The 25038-nt window shown below is 36.6% G+C and overlaps 2 protein-coding genes across 26 annotated transcripts in view; one reads left to right on the forward strand and one right to left on the reverse strand.

Annotated features, from left to right (window-relative positions):
• IMMP2L (inner mitochondrial membrane peptidase subunit 2) overlaps window positions 1–25038 on the reverse strand; it is an 899849-nt gene that overhangs the window by 406430 nt on the left and 468381 nt on the right. The gene's annotated exons all lie outside the window — the stretch shown is intronic.
• LRRN3 (leucine rich repeat neuronal 3) overlaps window positions 22054–25038 on the forward strand; it is a 34328-nt gene continuing 31343 nt past the window's right edge. For all 3 annotated transcript variants that reach the window (NM_001099660.2, NM_001099658.2, NM_018334.5), the window contains exon 1: window positions 22054–22431. The gene's annotated coding sequence lies outside the window, so the exon portion shown is untranslated. The remainder of the gene's footprint in view (window positions 22432–25038) is intronic.

Raw genomic sequence — 25038 nt, forward strand, 5'->3', positions numbered from 1 at the left:
TTCCTTTTGCAACTTAAGCAAATAACTTCATTATTTTATTTTGTAATGTTCCCATCTTTAAATTGAGGGTACGAGACTAGGTCTATTAAAGCAAACAGATTCCTTCCTTTGTACCAACTTGTTTTACTGGTGATGACTGCTGGGCATGAAGAAGGATGCTTTGTGCTCAGTGAGAAGGACCACTTTGATCAATTAGCAATGACTTCCATGGGCAAGCTGCAGTAGAAATGTTGTTTATCTGACATATCTGGGCTAGATGATTGTTAGCTGCCCTTTGAACTCAAACATTTGGTAAAATGAGGAATAGTAATGAACTAATCTATAACAATAGGACATAAAGAGAACTGAAACTGAGTGAGTTTTTAATCCATCAAATTAGAAACTTACAGTGGGTACTACCTAGGGTCTTTGAAAAGTAAAACGTTCTGTTTCTAGGTAAAAAATATTTTAATATATTTCTTTACTGCTATTTAGAGATTATTATAATGAAGACTGATTACTATAATGACAAATGTTTAGTAGCATTTGGATTCCAAACACATAGATATACATGTAGATACACAAAGCAATGAGTGTCCGAGACTCTCTGCAGTATTGCTCATAATACTGCTCACCCAGTTACCATTTAGGGCTCACATGAGGAGGCGAGATGGGGTGATCTGGAACTGGTCTCCTTCCTGGAGAGAAAGCTAAGGTAGAATGACAGCTACACAAATCATACAAAAAAATTGACCCCCAGGATCTCATTAGATCTTTCCAGAGTATGCTATTGAACAAGTTTCCAGGGCCAAAGACAGGACAATGTTCCACTAAAAAGTTATTCTACTATTTGCAAACATATCATGAAAGAAACCACATTTTAGCCTTGGGTACCGGCATCCCTAAAGTTTCACATCCAGGGTGCCCTCCTTCAAAGACAGTCCATATATAACATAAGAAAGGTGATAAATATTATCCAGAACCTCACAACACAGATTTACAGGTTGGAAGGAAAACAGTTTTTAGCTAAAGTAGTTCACATTTTTGTGAGGAATGTAGGACTAGATGTAAATTGATAGTGAAAAAAAAATATGTAAAGCGTAAAGTATAAAGTCCAAAGAATCTTTGAATAATGAAAAGAAAGTTATAAATTCAATTGGAAAAAATACTGAGCACCACAAAACTACAAAGGGTTGCAGGCTTCACCTCACAAGGCAGCCTTTGCATCTGAAAATATCAGCAGTCTAACATGCTGCAAAACATTCCACAACGTTTAAAGTAGCATACTGTATGGCTGCACTGCTTCTGTCATGGCAAATGATGATTAGTGTTCAGTCCACGAATTCTATTAATGGTATACAGAGAAAAAATTACAGAGAAAGACAACAGCTAGAAAAAACTTATTTTTTTTTTGGTTAAATAAAAATGTTATCTGTCTAGAAAGGAACTTATGATTGGATATTTTTGACTAAGAAAATAAGGAAGATTGATAAAAACTTAGAGTAAGTTGTTTTTGCAAAAGAGACTTTATAAGTTTGCCAAATTGAGCCTCATCCAAGAAATACTAATTGAGTTTAAAAGGATTTTCCCTAGTGAGTTGAAATCACTAATACACTGAGAAACTCCAGAATGCTCTGCTGCACCATAGTGGCCATATTTGGACAATATGTAAGGCACCTTGGACAGCAGGTGTAGTATATGATATTTTAACTGAACCTTAGATACTTTAAAATACAACAAACCTACACTTCTTAAATATAAGTAGACACATCTTCAAGTTGTAGTTAGGTAATTTCAAAGATTATCTATTTGATATTTTCCTTGGTACTATTATTAATTCAAGTCTCTCACTTAAATTTCGGATCAGGAGAAAAATCATGACTTTAAAAACATTTGTACTTTTTAAATAACATGATGTTATATATTACTAAAAGTTTATAGCTTGTAAAGAACTTATATAAATCAATAACAAAAAGACAGATAACCCACTTTAAAAATGGGTAAAGGACTTGAACAGACATTTATTGAAAGAAGATAAATAAATGGCCAACAAGTACATGAAAAAAATTTTCAACATAATTAGTCATTAGAGAAATGCAAATCAAAACTATCAGATGTTACTTCACACACACTAAAATTATAAGAATTTTTAAATCCCCACACATACAAAAACAAAAAATAAAGACTACTGGTAAGAAAGTGGAGAAGAAATGTAACCCTCATACATAGCTGGTGGGAATGTAAACTGGTGCAGCCAATTTGGAAAACAGTTTGATGATGCTTCAAAAAGGTAAACATAGGATTACCATATAAGCCAGTAATTCCATTCCTAGGTACGTATACCCTGAAACTAAAAATACGTACTCAAGCAAATACATGCACATGAATGTTCATAGCCGCACTATTTATAATAGTCAGAACATGAAAAAAAGAAACAAATATCTGTCGATGGATAAATGGAGAAACAAAATGTTATATATACATAATACAATATTATTCAGCCATAAGAAGAAGTACTGATTCATGCTACAATGTGGATGTATCTCAAAAACATTATACTAAGTGAAAGAATCCAGACATAATGGGTCACATATAATTCCAACTATATGAAATTTCTAGAATAGGTAAATTCACAGAGACAAAAAGCAGATGGGTAGTTGCCAAGAGCAAGGGGAAAGGGAGAACAGGAAATAACTGCTTAATGGGTACAGTTTTTTTTTGGTGTGGTGAAAACACTTTGTAACTTGATATAGGTGGTGGTTGTACAACACTGTCAATGCATTAAATGCCAGCAAATTTATACATTGTACATTTATAAATGATTACTTTTATGTTATGTGAATTTCACTTCAATTTTTTTTAAGTTAATACAAATTTTCATAAAGTTCCCAAGACTGCTGATGATACCATCCACTAAAAAAATGAGGGGTCATGACAAATGAGTGAAAATGTTAAAAGGAAATATTACCCACCAGCCAAATATAGGGCAATTTAAGAATCACAATAAATAATGATACTAATAGCTTACAACTCATTGTTGGGAAAAAAAATCCATTAGTCCTTACTGGCACTAAACAAGAAGGGAGAAGAGAAAGCTCTTCCTTACAACGGAATGGAATTCCAACTAGTAAATACAAAAGGAATGACAGAGTTAGAAACAATCATTTTACAACATCATAATAGTACTTGATTCAGGCAAGAATCATTGGTGACTGCAAAACTATTTCATAAAAGTTGATGAGGAATATAATATGTATACAAAATACTTAATACCAGAAAAAGTTCACCCTACAGTGGAGAAACCTGGCAGATACTATGTTTGCTAAAGAGATCACAGTTGATGTCACCGAATCTGGGGCAAACTGGTATCTTGTGCCTTTTGATATGATGAACTTAATGCAGTGTAAACTGCATTACTCTCAAAATGTGTAACCTCAATCCATGCATGAGGAAATATCAGAAAAACCCAAAAATAAAAGACATTCCACAAAACTCAAAAAAAAAAAAGTCAGCATGACAAAAGACAAATAAAAGCTGAAAACTTTCAGATAAAACCAGTCTAGGCTGGGTGCAGTGGCTCACACCATAATCCCAGCACTTTGGGAGGCCGAGGCAGGCGGATCACGAGGTCAGGAGATTGAGACCACCCTGATTAACACAGTGAAATCCCATCTCTACTAAAAATACAAAAAATCAGCCGGGCGAGGTGGTAGGCATCTGTAGTCTCAGCTACTCGGGAGGCTGAGGCAGGAGAATAGTGTGAACCCAGGAGGCGGAGCAGCGGAGCTTGCAGCGAGCCAAGATTGCACCACTGCATTCCAGCCTGGGTGACAGAGCAAGACTGTCTCCAAAAAAAAAAAAAAAAAGGAGTCTAAAGAGACATGACATCTGACAGTAATGCATGATCCTGGATTAGATCATTGGTAAAGGCAAAGACATGGCTATAAGGAACATTCTAGGAATAACTGGTGAAATTTGAATATGGAATATATATTAGATAATAGCACTGTACTGATGTTAAATATACTGAATTTGATAATTGTACTGTGGTTATGTAAGAGAAAAACTTCTAGAAAGGATGTCGGGTTAAAGGGTCATTATATCTGCAATGCACTTTCAAATAAGTCAACAAAAATGATGGTCATAAAAATGACAATGAGTGTATATATACACATAAACACACTCATATACAGCCATATCGCTATATGTGTGTGGTGGGGGAGACAGAGAGAGGAGGAGAGAGAGCAAGAATGAGAGTGGGTGTGACAGACAGAGAAAGTGCATAAAGGTACCAAAATGTTATAAATTGCTGAATATTTGGGGGTTCATTGTGCTATTCTTGCATATTTTTTACAAGTTTAAATTTTTTCCAAAATTGAAAGTTAAAAATTTAAAAAGTAGTATCCCTGAGATAGTTTTTTTCATTCAAGCCTGCATGCTTGTACAGATCTGAGACTATGTTCTCAGCCATATTCTCTCTTCCTGGCCATTTTCCTCTTAGAAACATGGCAAACAGAAATGAGAAATCCCATTTGCTTAACAAGTCTACCTGCTTGCCAGTGCCAGATTATTCCCTGTGGCATCATTTTTACTTCAACTTTGAGTACATTTTTAGGAGTCTCAAATGTGTGGGATTCCATTTCCCTTGAGAGGCATCTTCTGTTAACTCTCTTTTCCTGAAATAGAGATCACCCTTAAATGTTTCCTTAGTTGTGTTACCAATTATGTAGCAGAACTCTGCCACTCAGGAAGATACTACTTATTTCTAATGGTCTGTACACTAATGTTCTTTAATTATTAACCTTTGTCTTTGTTGTAGGGAAATTTGAGAAATGTTGTATTTGGGATAAATTGTTGCATATAAGTATGCATGTGTTATTGGTCAGTCTTCTGTTCCTCTCTATCCCTTGGTCTGTCCACAGAACCCAGGACAATGTCCAAGCTCTAATATCTGACCATTCAAATGGAAATCACTTCTGCATAGATAACACTTGCTGGACTCTGCTTTGTTACCCAGTAATTTTGACTATTGAACTACATGCTCACAAAACATCAAAGCTGGAAGGGACACCAGAGACAACCAGGTTTATACCCTCATTTTACAAATAAATAAGGTCCAGACAGGTTAAATGACCTACCCAAACTAATACGTTAAATTGAAGTCAGAGCAAAAATAAGAAACCTAGTTTATTCACTTCCTGACCTGACTGTCATCTTTCCACCTACAATGATGACTCATCGACTGTCATTTAGCTGATTATCACTTTGTGTTTGAGAGAATTTATAGAATACTAATTTGCTTTTCATAAACACCACACTTGCAATAAACTTTTAAAGCAAGATTTATTTCTAGCAATGCTGAAAAAGCCTTCTTTCTTAAGGTTCGGAGCAAAACCCAGTTAATCTTGGTCCTATGTAAAATACATGGGCACATGATGCATATCTTTAGTCTTCTCATTTTTGGACATATTTCTGCCTAAATACTTGTTTCTCTGCCAACTAACTAGAATTCTCTGAACAATATTTAGATCACTTTGGAAAAGGGAAGTTGGCTCACAGAGTTTTCATCTACACAGACACAGCTGGAAACCAAAATTCTAATGTTCTTCCTAATGGGGCTTGATCACAATAGAAAAGGGTGACAGAGTCTCAATTTTTCTTCAAATGCCTTTTTAACTTCCACATTCCAATACCTGTTTTTCCTTTCATTTCTGGTTTTGGCCAAGATTGCAATCACGTATTTGGTTTTAGCAATAAGGATAGTTTTGCAGTACTTTTGGCTACGATCAAAAAACAGAAATGCGGAAAATATCAAGAGAAAATCTATTTGTACATAGAATCTTTAAGAACAAAGAAATTTGAGAGACTTTGGCAACGTGCAAGTGACTGATAAGAACCATTCAACACAATGACAGAGATCAAAGGCTAATCAGCGTGGACGGAAAAGATCATGGGAAGCAAGAAAGTGGAGAGAAGGGCTAGGAGGCAATGGGGTTCAAGAACTGTGATTGTAATGGGAGCAAAAAAATTTGGCTGTTATATTTTAAATAGCTTGTTTTCAGACTTTTTTTTTTTTTTTTTTTTTTTTTTTTGAGATGGAATCTCTCTCTGTCACCCAGGCTGGAGTACAGTGGCACAATCTCAGGTCACTGCAACCTCCACCTCCCGGGTTCAAGTGATTCTCCTGTCTCAGCCTCCTGAGTAGCTGGGACCACAGGCATGCACAACCATGCACTGCTAATTTTTTGTGTTTTTAGTAGAGATGGGGTTTCACCATGTTGGCCAGGCTGGTCTCGAACTCCTGAACTCAACTGATCCAACCGCCTTGGCCTCCCAAAGTACTGGGATTACAGGTGTGAGCCACTGCACCCGACCTTGTTTACAGACACTTAAAAGTTTTATTTATATCTATCATAAATGAATATTAGTAGTTGCCTAATCTGATAGTGAATATTCTGTTTTCATAATACTCGAAATTGCAGGAACATTTAGAACAGTCCCTCCTTTCTTCTTGAGAATGTTTTTTCTCTGAGCCTCCATAACACTAGGCTCTTCTGGCTTTCTTTTTGCTGGTTGCTCTTTCTCACTGTCCTCTGCTGGCTCTTCCATCTTTATTTCACATTAGATAATAGAGTGCCCGAGGTCAGACTCTCAGGACTTCTTGTCTCTGTGTACACTTTTTCCCCACGTTGTCACATCTAAAGATAGACATGCTGATGACTTCTAAATTTACACCTTAAACTCCGATCTCTCCTCTGAGCTCCATGCTTTTATATTTTAAATTTGATGTGTCCATTATTTCGCTAAAAGGTAGCCCAGGCTTAACTCACTATTCTGAACTATTAGAAAAAAACATAATGTTTTACTTTTGTTTACAGCCAATTTAATTGTTCACCTCTCCCTTCCACTTGCCAGCTACCAGAAAATCAAATGAACTAAATTTCTTATCTAGTTAAAATTTGGTCTAGTCTAATAGTTTCATAGATCCTTCCAATAATACTTCATTTCTCTCTAGGAAAAAAAAGTTTGGTTCTTCAAATAGCCCCCCTCATGATATTGGTGGGGAGGAGTCCATTGGCCTTCATGATGATCCTGTATGTGTGCTAGCTCTTTGCTACTCAAAGTGTGATCTGTGGACCAGCACCACCAATGTCTCCTGGCAGGCTGTTGGAGATGCAGGCTAAACTCCAGCCCTACTGAATCAGAATCTGCATTTTAACAAAATCCTTAGGTGATTCATAAGTCTGAGAAGCACTGAAGATCTGATATCTATTCAATGTGCCCCTGAGTACTACTTGCACTGCTGACATTGAAAGCTGTGATCTATGGTTGGTAACATTTTTGTGGAGGTTTGGATGGTTGATTGCCTTAATGTGGGGATTTTTTGTTTTTTGGCCCCATTGGTTTGCTGAGAGCCTGATAGTTCTTTGTAGCTGAATCAGCCTCACCTCAGCCTCCACTGGCAGCAACCTCCTGAATGACTCATTTGTCTTCCATTCAGTCTGTAGCTCAGGAATCAGCCCAGCCTCTGCTGTTGGGACCCTTTGTCCATTAGCCTTCTGTCTCTCAACCCAGCATCTGTGGTTCAGAAAAGCTAAATCATAGGGAATCCCTCTGTCCACATAATAGTGTGGTCAATTTGCTGTGGCACAGTATAAAAGTGATGGGAGAACAAAGAGGTGATATTTTACCAGAGATGGGGGCAATGATGTTATTGTTTACTTAATGCACCTACCCATCTCCAAGCTAAAGCCACAAGGGTACGTCAGAATACACCTCTCTAACTACCTTACTCTCATCTCTCTCCTCTCTTTTCTCCCTAAAAATCCTCAGGGCAAAATAAAAGGCTTTTACTTTCCTTCTACTATATTTTATTTTTCTTCTTTCTGACTCTAGCTAGACCTCAATAGTGAATGAGGTCTCTCCTCCAACTAGGGAAAAATTGCATGAGCTGAGTCTCAGGCTCAGGTGGAATCAGGAAAATCTTATCTCAAGATGAAAGGCTGGCTTGCTGTATTTGGTGCAGAAATTCACAACCTAAGGCCTTTGTATTAGTTGTTTCTTCTGCTGGTTGCATAGTTATATTTTTGCAAAACAAAGCTGCATCTTATACTGACTACTTCTTGGAATTTCTTGTTACAAATCTGAATCTCCCTTCAGGGAAATAAATGACTAGGGCTGATGAGGGCAAAGTTTTTTGTTTGGTTGGTTTTTTTGTTTTACATGGTTAAGCAACAGATAAAAGCATTTTAAGCATTTTAAAACATTACCCTTACATTACATGAGAAAGACAGAATTCTGTTTGGGGATGAGGGCAACTTGCTCTTCTCTCGGAATCCCGCCTCTCACTTTATAGCACCATTATCCACATAGCAGCACCACTGTCTACTATGATGTAGAAGTCTGACTTAAATCCTCTTTTGTCATATCCCTTATACACAATCCATTAACAGTCTTTATAGGTCTGGGTTTAAAATATCTCTGGAATACTGTCATCTCTCAACATCTCTTCAGCTATCAGGGAAGTCCAGTATTCAGCATCTGTTGCTCCCCTTAACTCCTACCTGCCTCTAACCAATTCTCCATGTAGCAGCCTAGTGAGTTTTGAAACAGTGAGTACAAATTTTAAGTGTACTAATATCTCCACCCTACTTAAAATTGTCTAATGGCTGCCCATTACAATTAAAATATAATTCCTTTCCATGGTTCGCAAGACTATAGGAGATCTCATCCCTGGTCACCATTCAGGCCTCGCGTCCTAACACTTCCTCTTTGTTCATTACTCATGCACACTGGCCTTTTTCTGTCCCTAGGATATGCCAAGGACCTTTGTGCACACTGTTCTTCTGCCCGTTATACTTTGCCTTTGTTTCTTGGCCTGACTCTTCTTTCAACATTCATGTCTGTGCTCAAATGTTACCTTCTAAGGCTGAACCTCTTTAATACTGCATGTTAATAATCCCTCTTTGTTATTCACTATAATATTACTTTGTTTTAATTTTTTAATGGTATTTACTAATGTCTGGAATCATTATTTACTTGCACGTTTATCGTTGCCTATTTATCGTCTACCTCTTACATCACCCCAAGTAACATTTCTGAAAACAGTGACTTTATTTTTCACCTTTATATCCCAAGCATCTAGGACAAAACCTGGACAGTTGTTCAAATATATTTCCTGAAGGAATGAATGAAAAAATAAATGCTGGCAAGGGCATGATAGAAATGAGACTCATACTTGCTGTGTGAACTTGGTATGCGCTTTCAGGAAAGCAATCTGTATAATATATCAGGAGTCTTGGAATGCCTCAATCTTTTGGTCTAGAATGTCACTTAAAGCAATCCGGTCCACTGATTATTGCTACTGCATTATCTGCATTATTCACAATATAGAACATTTTTAAAAATTAGGAAACAAACGTCCAATATTTGGAGAATGGAGTATCTATATAGTATTAATATGGGCACTAAAATAATAAAGATTATTTTTATGACATAATTTTTAAAATATGGAATATTTTCTACTATGCAAGGGCAAAAAAATGTACCAAAGTATACCAAAGTGGTATATACAATATATCCTTTGATGTGCAAATGCTTTCTTCCCCATTTCTTTATCCTTTTTGAGTTTTCAAAATTTTTTACAATAAAGCTGTGGTATTTTTTATTTTTATTTATTTATTTATTTATTTATTTAAGATGGAATCTTGCTCTGTCACCCAGCCTGAAGTGCAATGGCACGATCTCAGCTCACTGCAACCTCCACCTACCAGGTTTCAGTGATTCTCCTGCCTCAGCCTCTGGGTAGCTGGGACTGCAGGCATGCGCCACCACACATGGCTAATTCTTCTATTTTTAGTAGAGACGGGGTTTCACCATGTTGGCCAGGCTGGTCTCGAACTCCTGACCTGAGGTGATCCACCTGCCTTGACCTCCCAAAGTGCTGGGATTACATTGTGGTATTTTTTAAATAAACATTTTAAAAGCCAACATTAATTTAGTTAAATAACATAGAAGGAATCAAAATCAATACATGTTTCATTGAATTAAATATGACATTAATTTTTTTCTTTTTTTTTTTTTGAGACGGAGTCTCGCTCTGTCGCCCAGGCTGGAGTGCAGTGGCGGGATCTCGGCTCACTGCAAGCTCCGCCTCCCGGGTTCACGCCATTCTCCTGCCTCAGCCTCCCAAGTAGCTGGGACTACAGGCGCCCGCCACTACGCCCGGCTAATTTTTTGTATTTTTAGTAGAGACGGGGTTTCACCGTTTTAGCCGGGATGGTCTCGATCTCCTGACCTCGTGATCCACCCACCTCGGCCTCCCAAAGTGCTGGGATTACAGGCGTGAGCCACCGCGCCCGGCCTAATTTTTTTCTAAATTCACTAAATCTAATACTATACAAATTGGCATTTACTTATATTTAAGTTCACTATATTTTAATCATTCTTAGAATTTTATCTACCCTAGGAAGACTAGTTTTGACCTGGGCCTTAAGACAATGTCCCAAATCGCACATGAGGTACTGCATAATTCAAAGCACATGTGTGCTTGCATATGCATAGTAAAGACCATAACATTTTTAAATTAGTAAATGAGCTCCTAACTTTATGATTATACATATATACTGATAATTTGGATAATAACTAAAGTCTCCATTTGTCTTCAAATTATAATCTCCTATGGTTTGAATGTGTCCCCAAACTTCATGTGTTGAAAGCTTGATCCCCAAATTCATATACTGATGGCACTTGGAGGTGGGGCCTTTTGGAGGAAATTTGGTTTAGATAAAGTCATTAGAGCTGAGCTCCCATAATGAGACTGGTAGCTTTATAAGAAGAGAAAGAGAGACCTGAGCAGGCATGCTCTTGCTCTTTTACCATGTGATGCCCTCTGCCATGTGTGATGTCATAAGGTCCTTATTAGATGCAGCCCCTTACCTTGAACTTCGCAGCCTCCAGAACTACAAAAAAAAAAATGTCATTTCTTTATAAATTACCCAGTCTATGGTATTCTGTTACAGCAACAGAAAATGGACTAAGACACAATTCCTTTGTTCTATGAACAAATTTAAGTCTTCTAAACAGTACTTACTTCTCCAAACAAAATGATGCTTGGTGTTAATTGAAATGTAGGACTGTTACAGTGGACTGCAGATCTTATTGCTGCAGGCAGAAACAGAATTATAATGAATATCTCATGTTCTGTGGTACTTGGAGGCATTTTGAAAACTCTTCCATTAAGAGAATAAAATACAAACATAACCACTGTACTTGAAACAAAACAAGGGCTGTTAGATTTGACTCAATCCTTTCAATGCAATTTTATCCAATATATATATGTAAACATACACACACACACGTATATACTTATATACACATGTATATTCTTATATACATAAATATATGTATATTCTTATATACATGTGTGTATTATATATTATGTGTGTATAATATATAATGTGTGTATAATATATATTACATATGTGTGTATGTATACACACAGAATATTTCAAAAAAGATTATAAGTGATTGAAAGGACATGGAAAAATTAGACTTTTTAGCTAATTGTCTAAGACAGTTAAACATTTGCTGTTTCCATCATTCTACACTCAATTAAGCCAGGCTAAGGATCATCTTATAAATGCTGACTTTGTTGTATTTTTCTCATATCAAACAATTCAGTTCAATCTCCTCTTACTAAATGCTTACTATACGCTAGGCATTGTGCTGAGGACCAGGAATACAAAGATGCAGACATCCTGTTCACTGCCAAATTTTGACAAGGGACCAAATATATATCCATTTTACAAACAGAAACTTCATAGTAAGTTTCAGTATTAGAATTTTCTTGTCAGCAGCCATGATATCTAAACTGCTAAATATATACCCTAAGTAAATATTCTATAAGCACATCAGATCAGAAACAGCTGGCAGCTTCAGGCTGTTCATTTCAAAATGAATTGAAGACCTGTAATCAGACTAGTGAGGATATTATTGATAGGATAAGTATTTGTGTACTTTCACATGAATAAACTTTCTTCTTTCATGCTTTCAAATTTAGGGCCTTTTTAGTGGTGTTGGGATGCCCCATTAAATGCTAGAAAACTATTTAGTTTATCCTTAGTCAATTCTACTGAATTTGGCACCTCTTAAATTTGGTTGAGGAAGAAATCTGCAAAAGACAATTACATGAAATATATGTTTATTAAAAATGCGAGACTGCCAATATATTTAAGGAAAAAAGAAAATGTAAAAACAAACAAACAAAAGACTTTCTTCTGACAATGCTGTGTTAGTGTTTCACATTTATAATTTTTTAGTATTAATCTGTAAGAATCCATGAAAGAAATAAACTTGTACTTGCTTATTGTGCCTGTTTCTAGATTTTAGACATGCTAGCACCTCTTTGTAACAGTGGTCTTCCAAAGAGAGACTTGACCAACCTGTGCACAGAGGGAGTGTCCTTAGTGCAGTGCTAAAGCTCTGGGCTATGAGTCCAAAGATCTCATTCATTCATAGACTCTTTTGCAGGCAAGACACTAACTGCTATGACAGTCAGCAAAAAGTAAAACAACAAGTAATCTATACATATTTATTAATTTCTGCATTTGTGGATTAACTGTGTTGATACATCTCTCGTTTGCTGAAAGGATTAAAGTAGCTCAACACAGAGGTAAGAATGACTTCCTCCTGTGACTTTCTATATGGGTGTAGAGGTGGCAACCTCTGACTAGGTGTCTGCATAGCAAATTGTATACTTTTAAAATAACGTCATTGACCATATCAAAAACAGGGAGAGGGATGATAAAGAATATACTGTAATGAAAGTCCCGCAAACCCTACTTTCCAGAGTGAGGAAGAAAGAATGATTGCCTGATATTTTAAGTAGGAGCTGCTTTCTTTGCTGTAGGTTGGCAGAAGCTGGAGAGTGGAGCAGGAGTCTCCTAGAAGCAGTGTTTTCTCACTCCAAATCTGAGTTGGATGCTCATTAATGAGCACCAAGCACCAGTTTGCAGTAGCCATTCTGAATTTAACAGTAACCATTTGGAGGCTACAAATCCTGAGGTCTGACTCTGAACATGTGTTTGTTTATTGGCACAGGGATAGCACTACACCATTTAGTTATAAAGTACAACGGAGCAAATCTACATTAATATGAGAATCCATATTTTGTCCTGCTTTTTCTATATGTCACACTTCTCAGTGAGACCCTAACAAGAGCAGGAATTAAGAATAGGTCAGAAGAACATCTGCTTTTCTTATTTTGATTACGTGGGCAAGCAAAGGAATTTGCTTTTATAACACCAAAATAACTTGGAATGCGGCAAAAATAAACGCACCTTCTGTCTCATGGAATGTTATTACAGTACAACGCTTTGTGAATGCTTGTTGGCATTTTCAAGCATTTTTTGTTCTCCTCATTTCTTTCTCAGCTCCATAATGCAATCCTCATGGTTTGAGCACTAGACTTCAAATGAGACATCTATTCAGAGAGTGTTCAGACAAAACGAGTGGTTTCCTTAGTAATGGGAACTATGTGAAAGCCTTCAGCACAGCCCCTTCAGACAGCCAGGCTTCTCCCAGGCTTGTGGTTCACACATAGGCTCTCAGTGAGCATTATACAGCTGGGGAGCACCCCCAAAGTCTAAACTGACCAAAGCACTGAATATTCATTGCATTTCTAATCAAATGTACCCTTTATAAAAGGTTAAAGATGTAAGAAGTGCTCTTAATGGCGAGGGTTAATTTGCTCATTTTCTGCATCATGTCTATGGAATGGAAAGAAAGATAAGCGATTTTGCCAAAAAAAAAAAAAAAAAAATGACACGTGTTGCTCTTTTGTTTGATTGTATTTTACATTTCCTTACCTTAAAAACCTAAGCCTGTCCTATTCTTGTTCCTTCTATGCCTAAAGACTACTACTCTGATTTTCCAGTTTTCTGCATAACAATCATCTTCAATAAAGCTTTGAAACTCTGCTATTAAAACAGGGTGCAAATGTTGCCTTTTGTAGTCTCAAATATATTTAAAATATAGTAAAGTAGTTTCATGTATACCAATGTTGAAGTTTTATGTATGTGTATCGATCCATTTTGTTATTTAGTTTCAGGACGACACAATAATTAGAAAAAGAGCTGGATAATACAATTGTCATTCATCTTAAATATTGACTCTTAAAGGCAGACAAATAACAACAACTATCCAAAATAAAAACCAACATGAAAATAATAAAAAATTATCTCAGCTGATATAATGTTTGCCTTTGAGGAATAATGATTTATAGATACCTTCACACTATGTTAATCATCCAATTAGGAGAATAAAAATATTGTCAAACATTTTGGGGTTGAAAAACATGAGGTATAGCTAAATTGTTAGTCTTCTACCATGAATATTTTTTGTCAATCTGGTTACACATAAGCAAACACAGGAAGCAAAAGTTAAGCTATAAAACCCGCAAAGGAGAGGAGAACGAGGGCCTCAAAAGATCACTGAAGAGAAGAAAATACAGTTTTAAGACTGTTGGCTTTGAAGCCTGACTTGCATTCTAGCTTTCCTTCTTCACTAGCGTGACAACTGTAGAAGTTCACCAACCCCAGTTTCCTCTTCTGTGAAAAGGGGAAAGTCCCTGACTGCCTCACGGTACTGTAAGAATGAAACCATATGTGTGCAGGGTCTACCAAGTTTCAGTGTCTTGCATCGAGTTAAACTCAACAAATGCTATTTAATATTATTCTAGGTACTTTAATTTCAGCATACATAATTTCTGCATGTGTACAGCTATGCATATTTTAAAATCTGATCTATTTCATTGTGGTTTGTGGATAGCTCAAGGAAAATCATTTCTATTTTCTGAATAATACCAATAATAAATATAACAACAAAAATACTAAATTTGCTGTCAAGAAATAATTGAACTGAGGAATGAAGAGTGAACAGTAAGAAGTAGGCTTGCTAAACACAAGTGTGAGCCTGACTGTGTTGTGGAGGAAGGGAAGAATGGACTAGAAGGTATGAGATTGGAAGCAAGAAAGATGAACTAGAAAAGATGAGACTGGAAGCAGGGAAGTTAGGAGAAATTGCAGCAGCCAAGGTAAGAGACGATGAATATCTAGCAGACAGAGAAGATAATTTAAGAAAACTTCAGAGTAAAATCAAGTTGTATATGGTGAAATGCAAGATATGAGGCACAAGATCCAAAGTTCCTGTAATTCTCTAGGTAACGAGGCAGCAGCAGAAATAAAATTAAAAAAAAAAAAAAAAAAGAAAGGAAAAAAGAAGAAAGCCAGTTTAGGGGAGCGCTTAAGAGGTCAGCTTTAGACACGTAGAGTACAGAGTGCCTGGGGATCACGCAAGTAGAGACATTTACCAGACAATTGGAGGGAAGGATTGATAGGTAGAAAGATAGATAGACGGATGGATGGATGGATGCACGGATAAAGAGACTGATTAATTTTACTTGCAAGAGCACTGATATAGGTTTGAAAGTAGTAATTACATAGTAGTAGAGACAATATTATCTAAGAGAGCATATAAAGAACAGTAGGCAAAAGAACAAGCCTAGGATAAATACTTAAGAGGTAGATGAACCCACAATGACAAGAGACAGAATGTGCAGACAAGCATGAAGATGACTTAGGAGGCTTTGATGTGCAATAACCAAATTGGGAGGGCACTGGTTGAGATTCCAAAGCAGAATTTCAGTAACAAGTTTGGATTAGAAATCAGAGAAAAGTCAACTGACAAAGTAGGTAGAAAGTGATGATATGATTGTAGCAAATATTGATAGCTCTTCTGAGAAACTTAATGTGAGGAGAACAGAGAAGGAAAGATAGATGAGGGTTCAGGATTAAAGGGATGATTGTTGTTATTATAGTATGAGTAACAAGTAAATGTATGGATTTTGTGGAAATATTGCTAGATATTGTTTCACATCGCTAGAAAAGGAGTAAAAGTCAATCCCCTGAGTGAAAAGAATGGAGAGAGACATAGAGAAAAGCCAAGATGAGAGACCTTTTTGGATCTACAGAGAAATATAAGGAGAAACATAGGGAAGAATAAAGGAATCTGAGGAAGAGACAGAGAAAAAAATTTGTCTCATTGATTCCTGACATGTCATCCTTGATTGTGAATTTCTTGGCATAGTGAGATTACTTTTGTTCTTCAAATGATTCGTATCTTTCATTAAAAGTAAGACCTTTGGGTATATACACAGTAATGGGATTGCTGAGTCAAATGGTATTTCTGCCTTTAGGTCTTTGTGGAATCACTGTCTTCCAAAGCAGTTGAACTAATTTACACTCCCAACAACAGTGTAAAAGTGTTCCTTTTTCTCCACAACCTCGTCAGTAGATTGAAGCTAGTTGATTAGGATATTTAGCTGTTAACTAAATTTTTGTGGGTTTGCGTCCCATTAATCTAGTAAGGACTCAGTAAGGTGTTTTTTGACTTTTTTAATAGTAGCCATTCTGACTGATGTGGGATGGTACCACATTGTGGTTTCTATTTCCATTTCTGTAATGACCAGTGATGCTGAGCTATTTTTCACATGATTGTTGGCTGCACATATTTCTTTTTTTGAGAAGTGTCTGTTCATATCCTTTGACCGCTTTTTATAAAGACACATGCACATGTATGTTCACTGCAGCACTATTCACAACAGCAAAGATATGAAACCAACCTAAATGCCCATCAGTGATAGACTGGATAAAGAAAATGTGGTACATAAACACCAAGGAATACTATGCAGCCATTAAAAAAGAACAAGATCATGTCTGTTGCAGGGACATGGATGCAGCTGGAGGCTACCATCCTTAGCAAACTAATGCAGGAACAGAAAACCAAATACCACATGTTCTCACTTATAAGTGGGGGCTAAGTGATGAAAAATCAACAGCCACTGGTGCCTCCTGGAGGGTTAAGAGTGGGAGGAGGGGGAGGATCAGAAAAAACAACTAATGGCTACTAGGGTTAATATGTGAGTGATGAAATAACATGCACAAAACCCCGCCCCATGCCCCATGTTTACCTTTGTAACAAACCTGCACATATACCCCTGAACTTAAAATAAAAGTATTTAAAAAAAAGACGTGGACTGGTACTGTGGCTCATGTCTGTAATCCCAGCCATTTGGAAGGCCGAGGTGGAAGGTTCGCTTGAGAGCAGGCTGGGCAGCATAGAGAGACCCCATCTCTACTCAAAGAAAAAAAAAAGAAAAAAAAAAAAGAAAAAGAAAAATCAGCAGGATATGGTGGCTTGTGCCTGTGGTCCTAGCTACTCTGGAAGCTGAGGTAGGAGGAACATTTGAGCCCAGGATTTCGAGGTTATTGCAGTGAACTATGATCATGCCATTGCACGCCAGCCTGGGCAACAGAGCAAAAACTGTCTCAAAAATAAAGAAAAAAAAATTAAAATTAAAACAAAACCTATAGGTAAATAAGAACCTCTGTTTTTCTCCAATTCTACTTTCCAAAACTCCTTTGAAAAAGAAAATGAGAACTCTGACCCAACTTGCTTTAGTTCAACATTCTAACAAACAGTCAGTAGTACTACTACTCACCTTACATCATGTTTCTAACTGAATTGAGAACTAATCTGTTATTAGAATTAGACCACAAAGGACAAAGTCATTGAAGACCTTCCTAGCACAATGTCAGCCCCTCACCATCAGTGACTCATTCATATGTATTTAGCTTTCTGAGCATATCGACTCATTTTTTCCACTAGGCACTGCATTTCTTCAGAGCTCTACTTCTCAAATCATGACAGCAATAAAAATTCCGTCATCAAACCTGAACAACCACTACTGTATAAAAGCAACCACTGTCTTGTGCATAAAACTAATTCCTTTTTAAAAATAGTATTTTATTTTTGGCATCCCTTGTTGCTGACTATATTGCATTGGTTGGCTCAGCCATCCATCAAGCATTCATTTATTTTACAAGTGAATATTGAGTACCTTGTGCAGTAGAAAGAGCTTTGGCTCTGTAAGCAGACAGAACTGAGTTCAAATTTTAGCCTCATTATTTAATAGTTTTGGGACATTGGGCAAGTAAGCTAGCTTCTTTCAGCCAATGTTTCTACACTGCCAATTGAAGGTAAAAATATCTATCTTTGCCGGGCGCGGTGGCTCACGCCTGTAATCTCAGCACTTTGGGAGGCTGTGGCGGGCTGATCACGAGGTCAGGAGATCGAGACCATCATGGATAACATGGTGAAACCCCATGTCTACTAAAAATACAAAAAATTTGCAGGGCATGGTGGCACGCGCCTATAGTCCCAGCTACCAGGGAGGCTGAGGCAGGAGAATCACTTGAACCCGGAAGGTGTTGGTTGCAGTGAGCCGAGATCGTGCCACTGCACTCCAGCTTGGGCAACAGAGCAAGACTCCATCTTAAAAAAAGAAAAAAAAAAAAAAACAACGAAACACTAGAATAGCTATAATTCAACTGGAATAGGTATAATTTATATATCAATCCCAATTTGAATAGAATATTTTTGAAGTTAATATATATAAAATATACAAATATATGTTAGTGCTCGACAGATGTTATTTTATCCATTTTATATGCATTGTGGAGCTTAAAAACTTAACAAGACATATACTCCCTCTAGGAGAATCTTATATGCTAAAAGGGGAAACAGGTAAAATTACAGAAACAATTATAATACCAAAAAAATGGTAAGTAATAAGAGCGATAAAGAGTGCTATTGTGGGTCAAATGAGAGATTATATCTTGTTAAAGGAGGAAAACAATGACCATGATAACAATGACCACTACCATAATAATGCCAGTAATAATGTCAAACATTTGTTCAAGACTACTATATTTCAGCACTTTTCTAAACCCGGTATACATATTAACTGTTTTAATGTTCATAACAATTCTAGGAGAAAAATGACATGCAGAGATAATACTTTTAAACCAAGATGCACGATGATACTTAACAGAGATGATACTTAACATGATGCTCAGAGTCTCTAGGAAGTGGCAAGGTAAGGATTCAAACCCAGACATTGTGGCTCTAAAACCCACATTCTACCGACTGTCCAGGCTACTTTTCTAAGAAAAGCACACAGGCGAATAAAGCCCAGGATTTGATGAAATAGCAATAAACAAGTTAAAAATCCCAACCACTAAGTCAGTGAATATCTACTGTACCCAATATTTTCTTATTTGATGATGAAGGCAAAACTCTTTCAGTATAATTTAAGGGTTGTAATTATTCATTTACATTTTAAAACCATTTCAATACATTTCCATTAAAACTCAGTATTCATCTAGGAAACCCTGTAGACATTTCCTACAATGTAGGTAACATGTACAACCATGTAATACTGTGGTTTACAATGTGAAATTTCTCTGAAGCTTTAGTGCCTTCTAAAGGAAGAAACTTAAAAAAAAATGAAGGGAGAGAAGGAGGGAGAGTAAGAAGAAGGAAGAAAAGAAGGAGAAGAAGGAAAAGAAGAATTAGCAGAGACCTGTCAATCATCCAGTAGATGATAGGGTAATATGGTGGAAAAAACCTGGAATACCTGAGGGGCTCTATCCTGGCTTTAATGTGCCAACTGTGTGCTAAGATTCCATGGTTCTCATTTGATGATCACTCACAATTGTATTAATTCAAAAACCCTAAAATCCTTACTGTATTACAATGTAACGTCTTCATATGGTACTTCATTATATAGATGTGATACCAAAATAATTTTTTCATGTATCTTTGGAGAGAGCCACATTTCATATTTACAGTTAAGGACTGAACGCCCTGATAAGTGAAAAAACACCCAAAACACACACTGATTCCATAAAGCTGCTGATGCTCTTGGAACAAGATAGAAATTCCAGTCAAAGAACAGAATCGCCATCCTTTTCATCCAAAGCCAGAGTCATTTTCTCTTTCACATTAAAATCTCATTTCTAGTGCTCCATGATATTAAATTTATAAAAATGAGTATAAAATATTTTAAATTTATCATGTACCTACATTAAAAGGACAATTGCAGGAAGAGCACTCTGATCTCCCACTTTCAAAAGAGTGATCATTTAGTTAAAACAACTTCCTATGAAATAATGTAAGATAACATATAAATGGCTACCTTTAACAATTCTAACTGAATCAAAACTGAAAAGATTTTTTCTTGATTTCTGAAACAGACTGAAATTTAAGATATTAGGTATGACTGCAGTTTCATTTAAAAACCAAGAGAGGAGTTTAATCATGTATCTGACTATCACAACTTACCTTCATTATGGGAGTGCATTATAATTGGTTTGATTACTGGACTTGTCAATTATACAGTCAATACCAATCAATGAAAATTAATCACTTAAGATACCATGGCATAAATAAAAATTCTCTTTTTACAAATAATTATCACAATTTTAAGATTATTCTTCCATATGTGGAAATAAATCCTGCAGATACTGAAATAATTTGGAATATTAAAGAAACTAAGATTTGCTAGATTAAAATTAAGGGGTAAGAAGGATGATTATTACTATTATTAAAAGTACATTAAATTATATGTAAATATACTCTAACACAACATCCCAACACTCAACCATGATCCCTAACATACAGAACTGACTCAGTGCTTTCTGAGTAAATACTAGAGTATCCAGTAAATAATAAAACCTTACAATAATATTCTGAAATAAGTATTAGGTTAAATGAGATGCTACTTTTATCTTGAACTTATTTTGATTCATTTGAATAAATTCTTATAGAAAAAAACATTTGGGAACTGTTTCTAGAAAACTACAGAGTGAAAATATTCAGTATTTAAAGACAAGCCTACTGTTTAAAATTTTTCCTGGTATTATTATTATTATAATAACTGCAAACTATTGTTCTATGTCATGTCAATAAGCACTTAAGGAGCAATTAGATGTGAAGGTTTTGTTTTTTTTTTCCTAAGTAAATCTAATAAGTGCCATTTCTCTTTACTCCACTAGAGGGTAGTCTCTCAAAACTGGGGTTGGAGTCATGACTAGCCTGCTTTTGACCTGTTGATATATTAATCCTCATGTTCCATTCTCCTCAACAAGATGTTTCTCTAGTATACTAATTAAGGTTGTAAAACATGCATTTTTAAAACTGCTTTTTGATTTTTCATGTATGTTCTTTCAGAAATATGCACTGCTATGTGTTTCTGTGTTTTCCAAATTTCTGGTAATTAATAAAAATGTTTTACATGTATGGCTTATATAGTATATTTTCCTGGGAAATATCCTTTCAGAGTTAATAGGCCTAAGAATAAAGATAGTCTTTTAAATAATTTAACTTATTACAATCGAAATATTTCCCCAGAGTGGTAAAAAATACATCCTAAATACACACACACACTCACAGATACACAAACACACCTACACATGTACCCATTCATATGTAGCTCCTAGATTTATTACATCATATAAAGAGAAGTCAGTGAGTATAATTAGAAATACATATTTTTAAAAAGTACCCCCTCAAATGCCAATGTTGTGAATTACAGAGAGGCAAATATATGCTTTATTTTAAAAATCTGGTCAATCCAGACAAGAAATGTCATTGCTAAAAAAAAAAAAAAAAAAGTGTTATTGAACACCAAGCACATATGCTAAATTAAGTAGGATCTATAGAGAACCAAATGCCACTCAAAACAGTTGCAAGCTTCTCTTCTTAAATAATGCAGTCATTGCTGAACTTCAGAGACGGAGTTGGAGGTTTGAGTCTCTACCAGGTGTTTTTAATATTTAGGAAATCCTTATCAGTAGTGTGTCCTCTCTATTTGCAGACTGAAAACATATTTCTCTGAATGACTGATAACCTAAAATTGAGAAAACTTGTCAAAAATTCCCAACATTCCCTCAGAAAGGAAAAAAAAGAAGGAAAATGATACCTAGGAAAACATGCAAGCCTGTTTCATTTATTTGTATCCTAAGCAGCAGTGTCATAGAACAGACAGTTTGTTTCAGCCAACCAGACTGGAGCAGCTGCGAGTGCTACATCTTGGCTGTCTGAAGCGATTGGCTCCTCTCTGGGGAGTGGAGGGTGTTCAGTTATTAATGACCGCTGAGCAGGCAGCACCATGTCAGTGTGACAACTGATCGGGTGAACGATGCACCACTAACCACCATGGAAACAAGGAAAAATAAAGCCAGCTCACAGGATCTCTCTTCACTGGATTGAGAGCCTCAGCCTGCCGACTGAGAAAAAGAGTTCCAGGAAAAAGAAGGAATCCCGGCTGCAGCCTCCTGCCTTCCTTTATATTTTAAAATAGAGAGATAAGATTGCGTGCATGTGTGCATATCTATAGTATATATTTTGTACACTTTGTTACACAGACACACAAATGCACCTATTTATACCGGGCAAGAACACAACCATGTGATTATCTCAACCAAGGAACTGAGGAATCCAGCACGCAAGGACATCGGAGGTGGGCTAGCACTGAAACTGCTTTTCAAGGTAAGTTTAAAATACACATATATTTTAAAATACGTTCTATTTCTTGTCTCTTCGATGATCATGTTTTTACACCTAAATCCTCCTTTGATGTCTTCTTCTTGTCTGAATTCTAAGAGCATTTTTCTTTTATTGCACTTTTGAGAAGAAATTCACATGCAAAACCCAGCTGGCTCTGTGTGTGCCTAGCTGTGTTTGTGAGATTCTCCAACATGCATTTTACTAGCTTGAATGCCCATTAGAGGATGTGAGTGGGAGAGAAAAAGCAGTGTTGGGGGGAGGAGAAAAAGGAGGGAGACAGAAGAGAAGGGAACAGTGGGGGAGAAGAGAGGAGGAGAGGGAGAGAGAAGGAGATGGGGAAGAGAGAAGACAGAGAGGAGACAGAGAGGAGAGGAGAGTCACGGGTGATGGGGTGCAATTTTCCTTTTTCTTCACATTATTTGTAGTGAAAAGCAGATCACACATTATTCTCTGTTTTGAAATCAACCCACCAAATGGGGCATTTTTATTTTGTCTCATCCAGTGGATGCAAATTAAGGCAAATGCTGTTGTATGTTAAGAGCTAAACCACTAAGCAGAGTAGCAGAATGAGCATATCACAAACAGTTATTGAATTTCTGCCAGGCTACATCTTACGGACTGGGGTAAATGACTTCCCTTTAATAACATCCCCTCGCTGGTCTGAAGGGACAGTGCAAATGTCTGATTGCTAATGCAGCTGGAACTGCCACACACTAGGTGAAAGGATCCCATGAACCAGAAGAGTTCTAATCTTTGGTAATTAACAGGATCACAGCAGGATGGCTTTAAAGTACATTTCCTATTTAAGAAAATTGTTTGTTCTAACCAACTGCTATATTCCCTTTGCTGTTGTTGAGCTGGATGGCTTAATTCGGCTCTAATTTATTCATTTTTAACAATATGTCCTTGTTTCTCTGCCTCTAATTTCAGTGAAAGCAGGCTATGAATATGAGTAGAACCGTCCTAATTTAGTGAAAAGGGGATAATGTGAAAACAAAAATAGAAGTAAAGGTTCAAAATATCTACCTAGAAAATAGTGTGCTCTGGTACCATAAATATTACTGATATATTTCTCATCTTTAGTTTCAGAAGCAATGCCTTTGAGACAGAATTACTCTCAGTAAACTCTATGAGCATCCATGTATTGATGATTCATGGAATTCAGTGTGGGTTAATTTTTACTTCCAATCTTGTAAAGGGAAGCCAGCTACTTAGAATATGCTTTCAAACAGACAACACCAATTGAGGATATTCATGGAAACATTCACTGCCCTCTTTACTGGGTCCTGGAAAGACAGTAAAAGAAACCTAGCATTTGTATTTCATCTTCTGGAGCTCTCTCCTGCCTTCTTTTAGTTCAACTAACCACACAGTTAACAGAGTCAGCTTCTTTGAAACTGTGGGTTATTTTTTTCCACAACTGTGATTTCAGAGCTATTATTGGTTTCCTAGTTTGTAATATAAGCCAAAGCAAAAAGACAATAACCAGCCACTTAGATCCTGCCACTTTCCCATAAATGTGTCAAAAAAATGAGTCAGTTTACAACATGTAATATAAGAAGTCAATTAATTCCAGTGACCTTTGTAAATGATGACAATAAAGCAGCTCTGACAATATGCCAGTGGCTTCGATTTTCTCTCTGTAAGATGAACAAGTTTAAGAAGAGGGTTCCTGCTCAGAGAAAAATGAAAGGTGCTGAAGCATCAGCTTGCAATATTGGCAGCTTTGCTCGCTCTGCCTCAAATGCCACATGCAATCTATAAAAAAAACCAAAATGATTTATTACAAAAAGGAAAAAGTGTTTTATTTGCTTTTCTGCTATTTATTAAAAGTGCTGCTTTTGAAACAGACCAGATCTGATATTTTGAGGTACCTCCTAAGTTCCTAACCAAGAGGAAAAGACTTGAAGTAGATACTCAACCCTCTGATTTCAAACTCCTATATAATGTAGCATTGCAGTATTTAATTCAGTTTTTCTTAGACCTTTTCCAGGGAAAGTTTGCATGCCAGACACACATTCTTAAATCTAACCCGCCTTATTTTAAAATTGCAATAGATGACACCTAAGAACAGTGGATTCACTCTTTAACCTTAGTAAAGCTCACATACATATTTTGTGGATTACAGAGATCAGTAATGTGCCCACTTCAGTCTGAGAAATACCAACACTCCAGGCCCCCGGTGTTGCCACTCAGTGTGTGCCAGTGAGTTTGGTGATTTGATCAGCACCTACGAATGCCAGATGATGGACATTTGTGTATGACTGGAAGATTTACCCATAGTCTCCCCAAATCATGTAACTATACCAGAAATAGCACCTTCCTGGCAAGACAATTCAAAGGACCATTTTTTTCAGGGTGTCGCTTGTCACAGGCAACATGCTGAGTTAGAATGCTGATGAGTAGGTGGAATTTTTTATTTGGAGGTGGTGGTTGTTGTTGTTAATGGCTTAATAAACGGTGCTACCAGCCTTCCAGGCCAGCAATTTAGTGACCTACAAAAAAGGTGATCAACTTATGATGCACTAACTATATTTCACTGTTTCTTTGTTCTTTCCTTTTTTGTAACATCTTTTGCTTTCGCCATGT

The sequence above is a fragment of the Homo sapiens genome, chromosome 7, assembly GCF_000001405.40.
Source record: "Homo sapiens chromosome 7, GRCh38.p14 Primary Assembly".
In the NCBI taxonomy this organism is placed as follows: domain Eukaryota; kingdom Metazoa; phylum Chordata; class Mammalia; order Primates; family Hominidae; genus Homo; species Homo sapiens.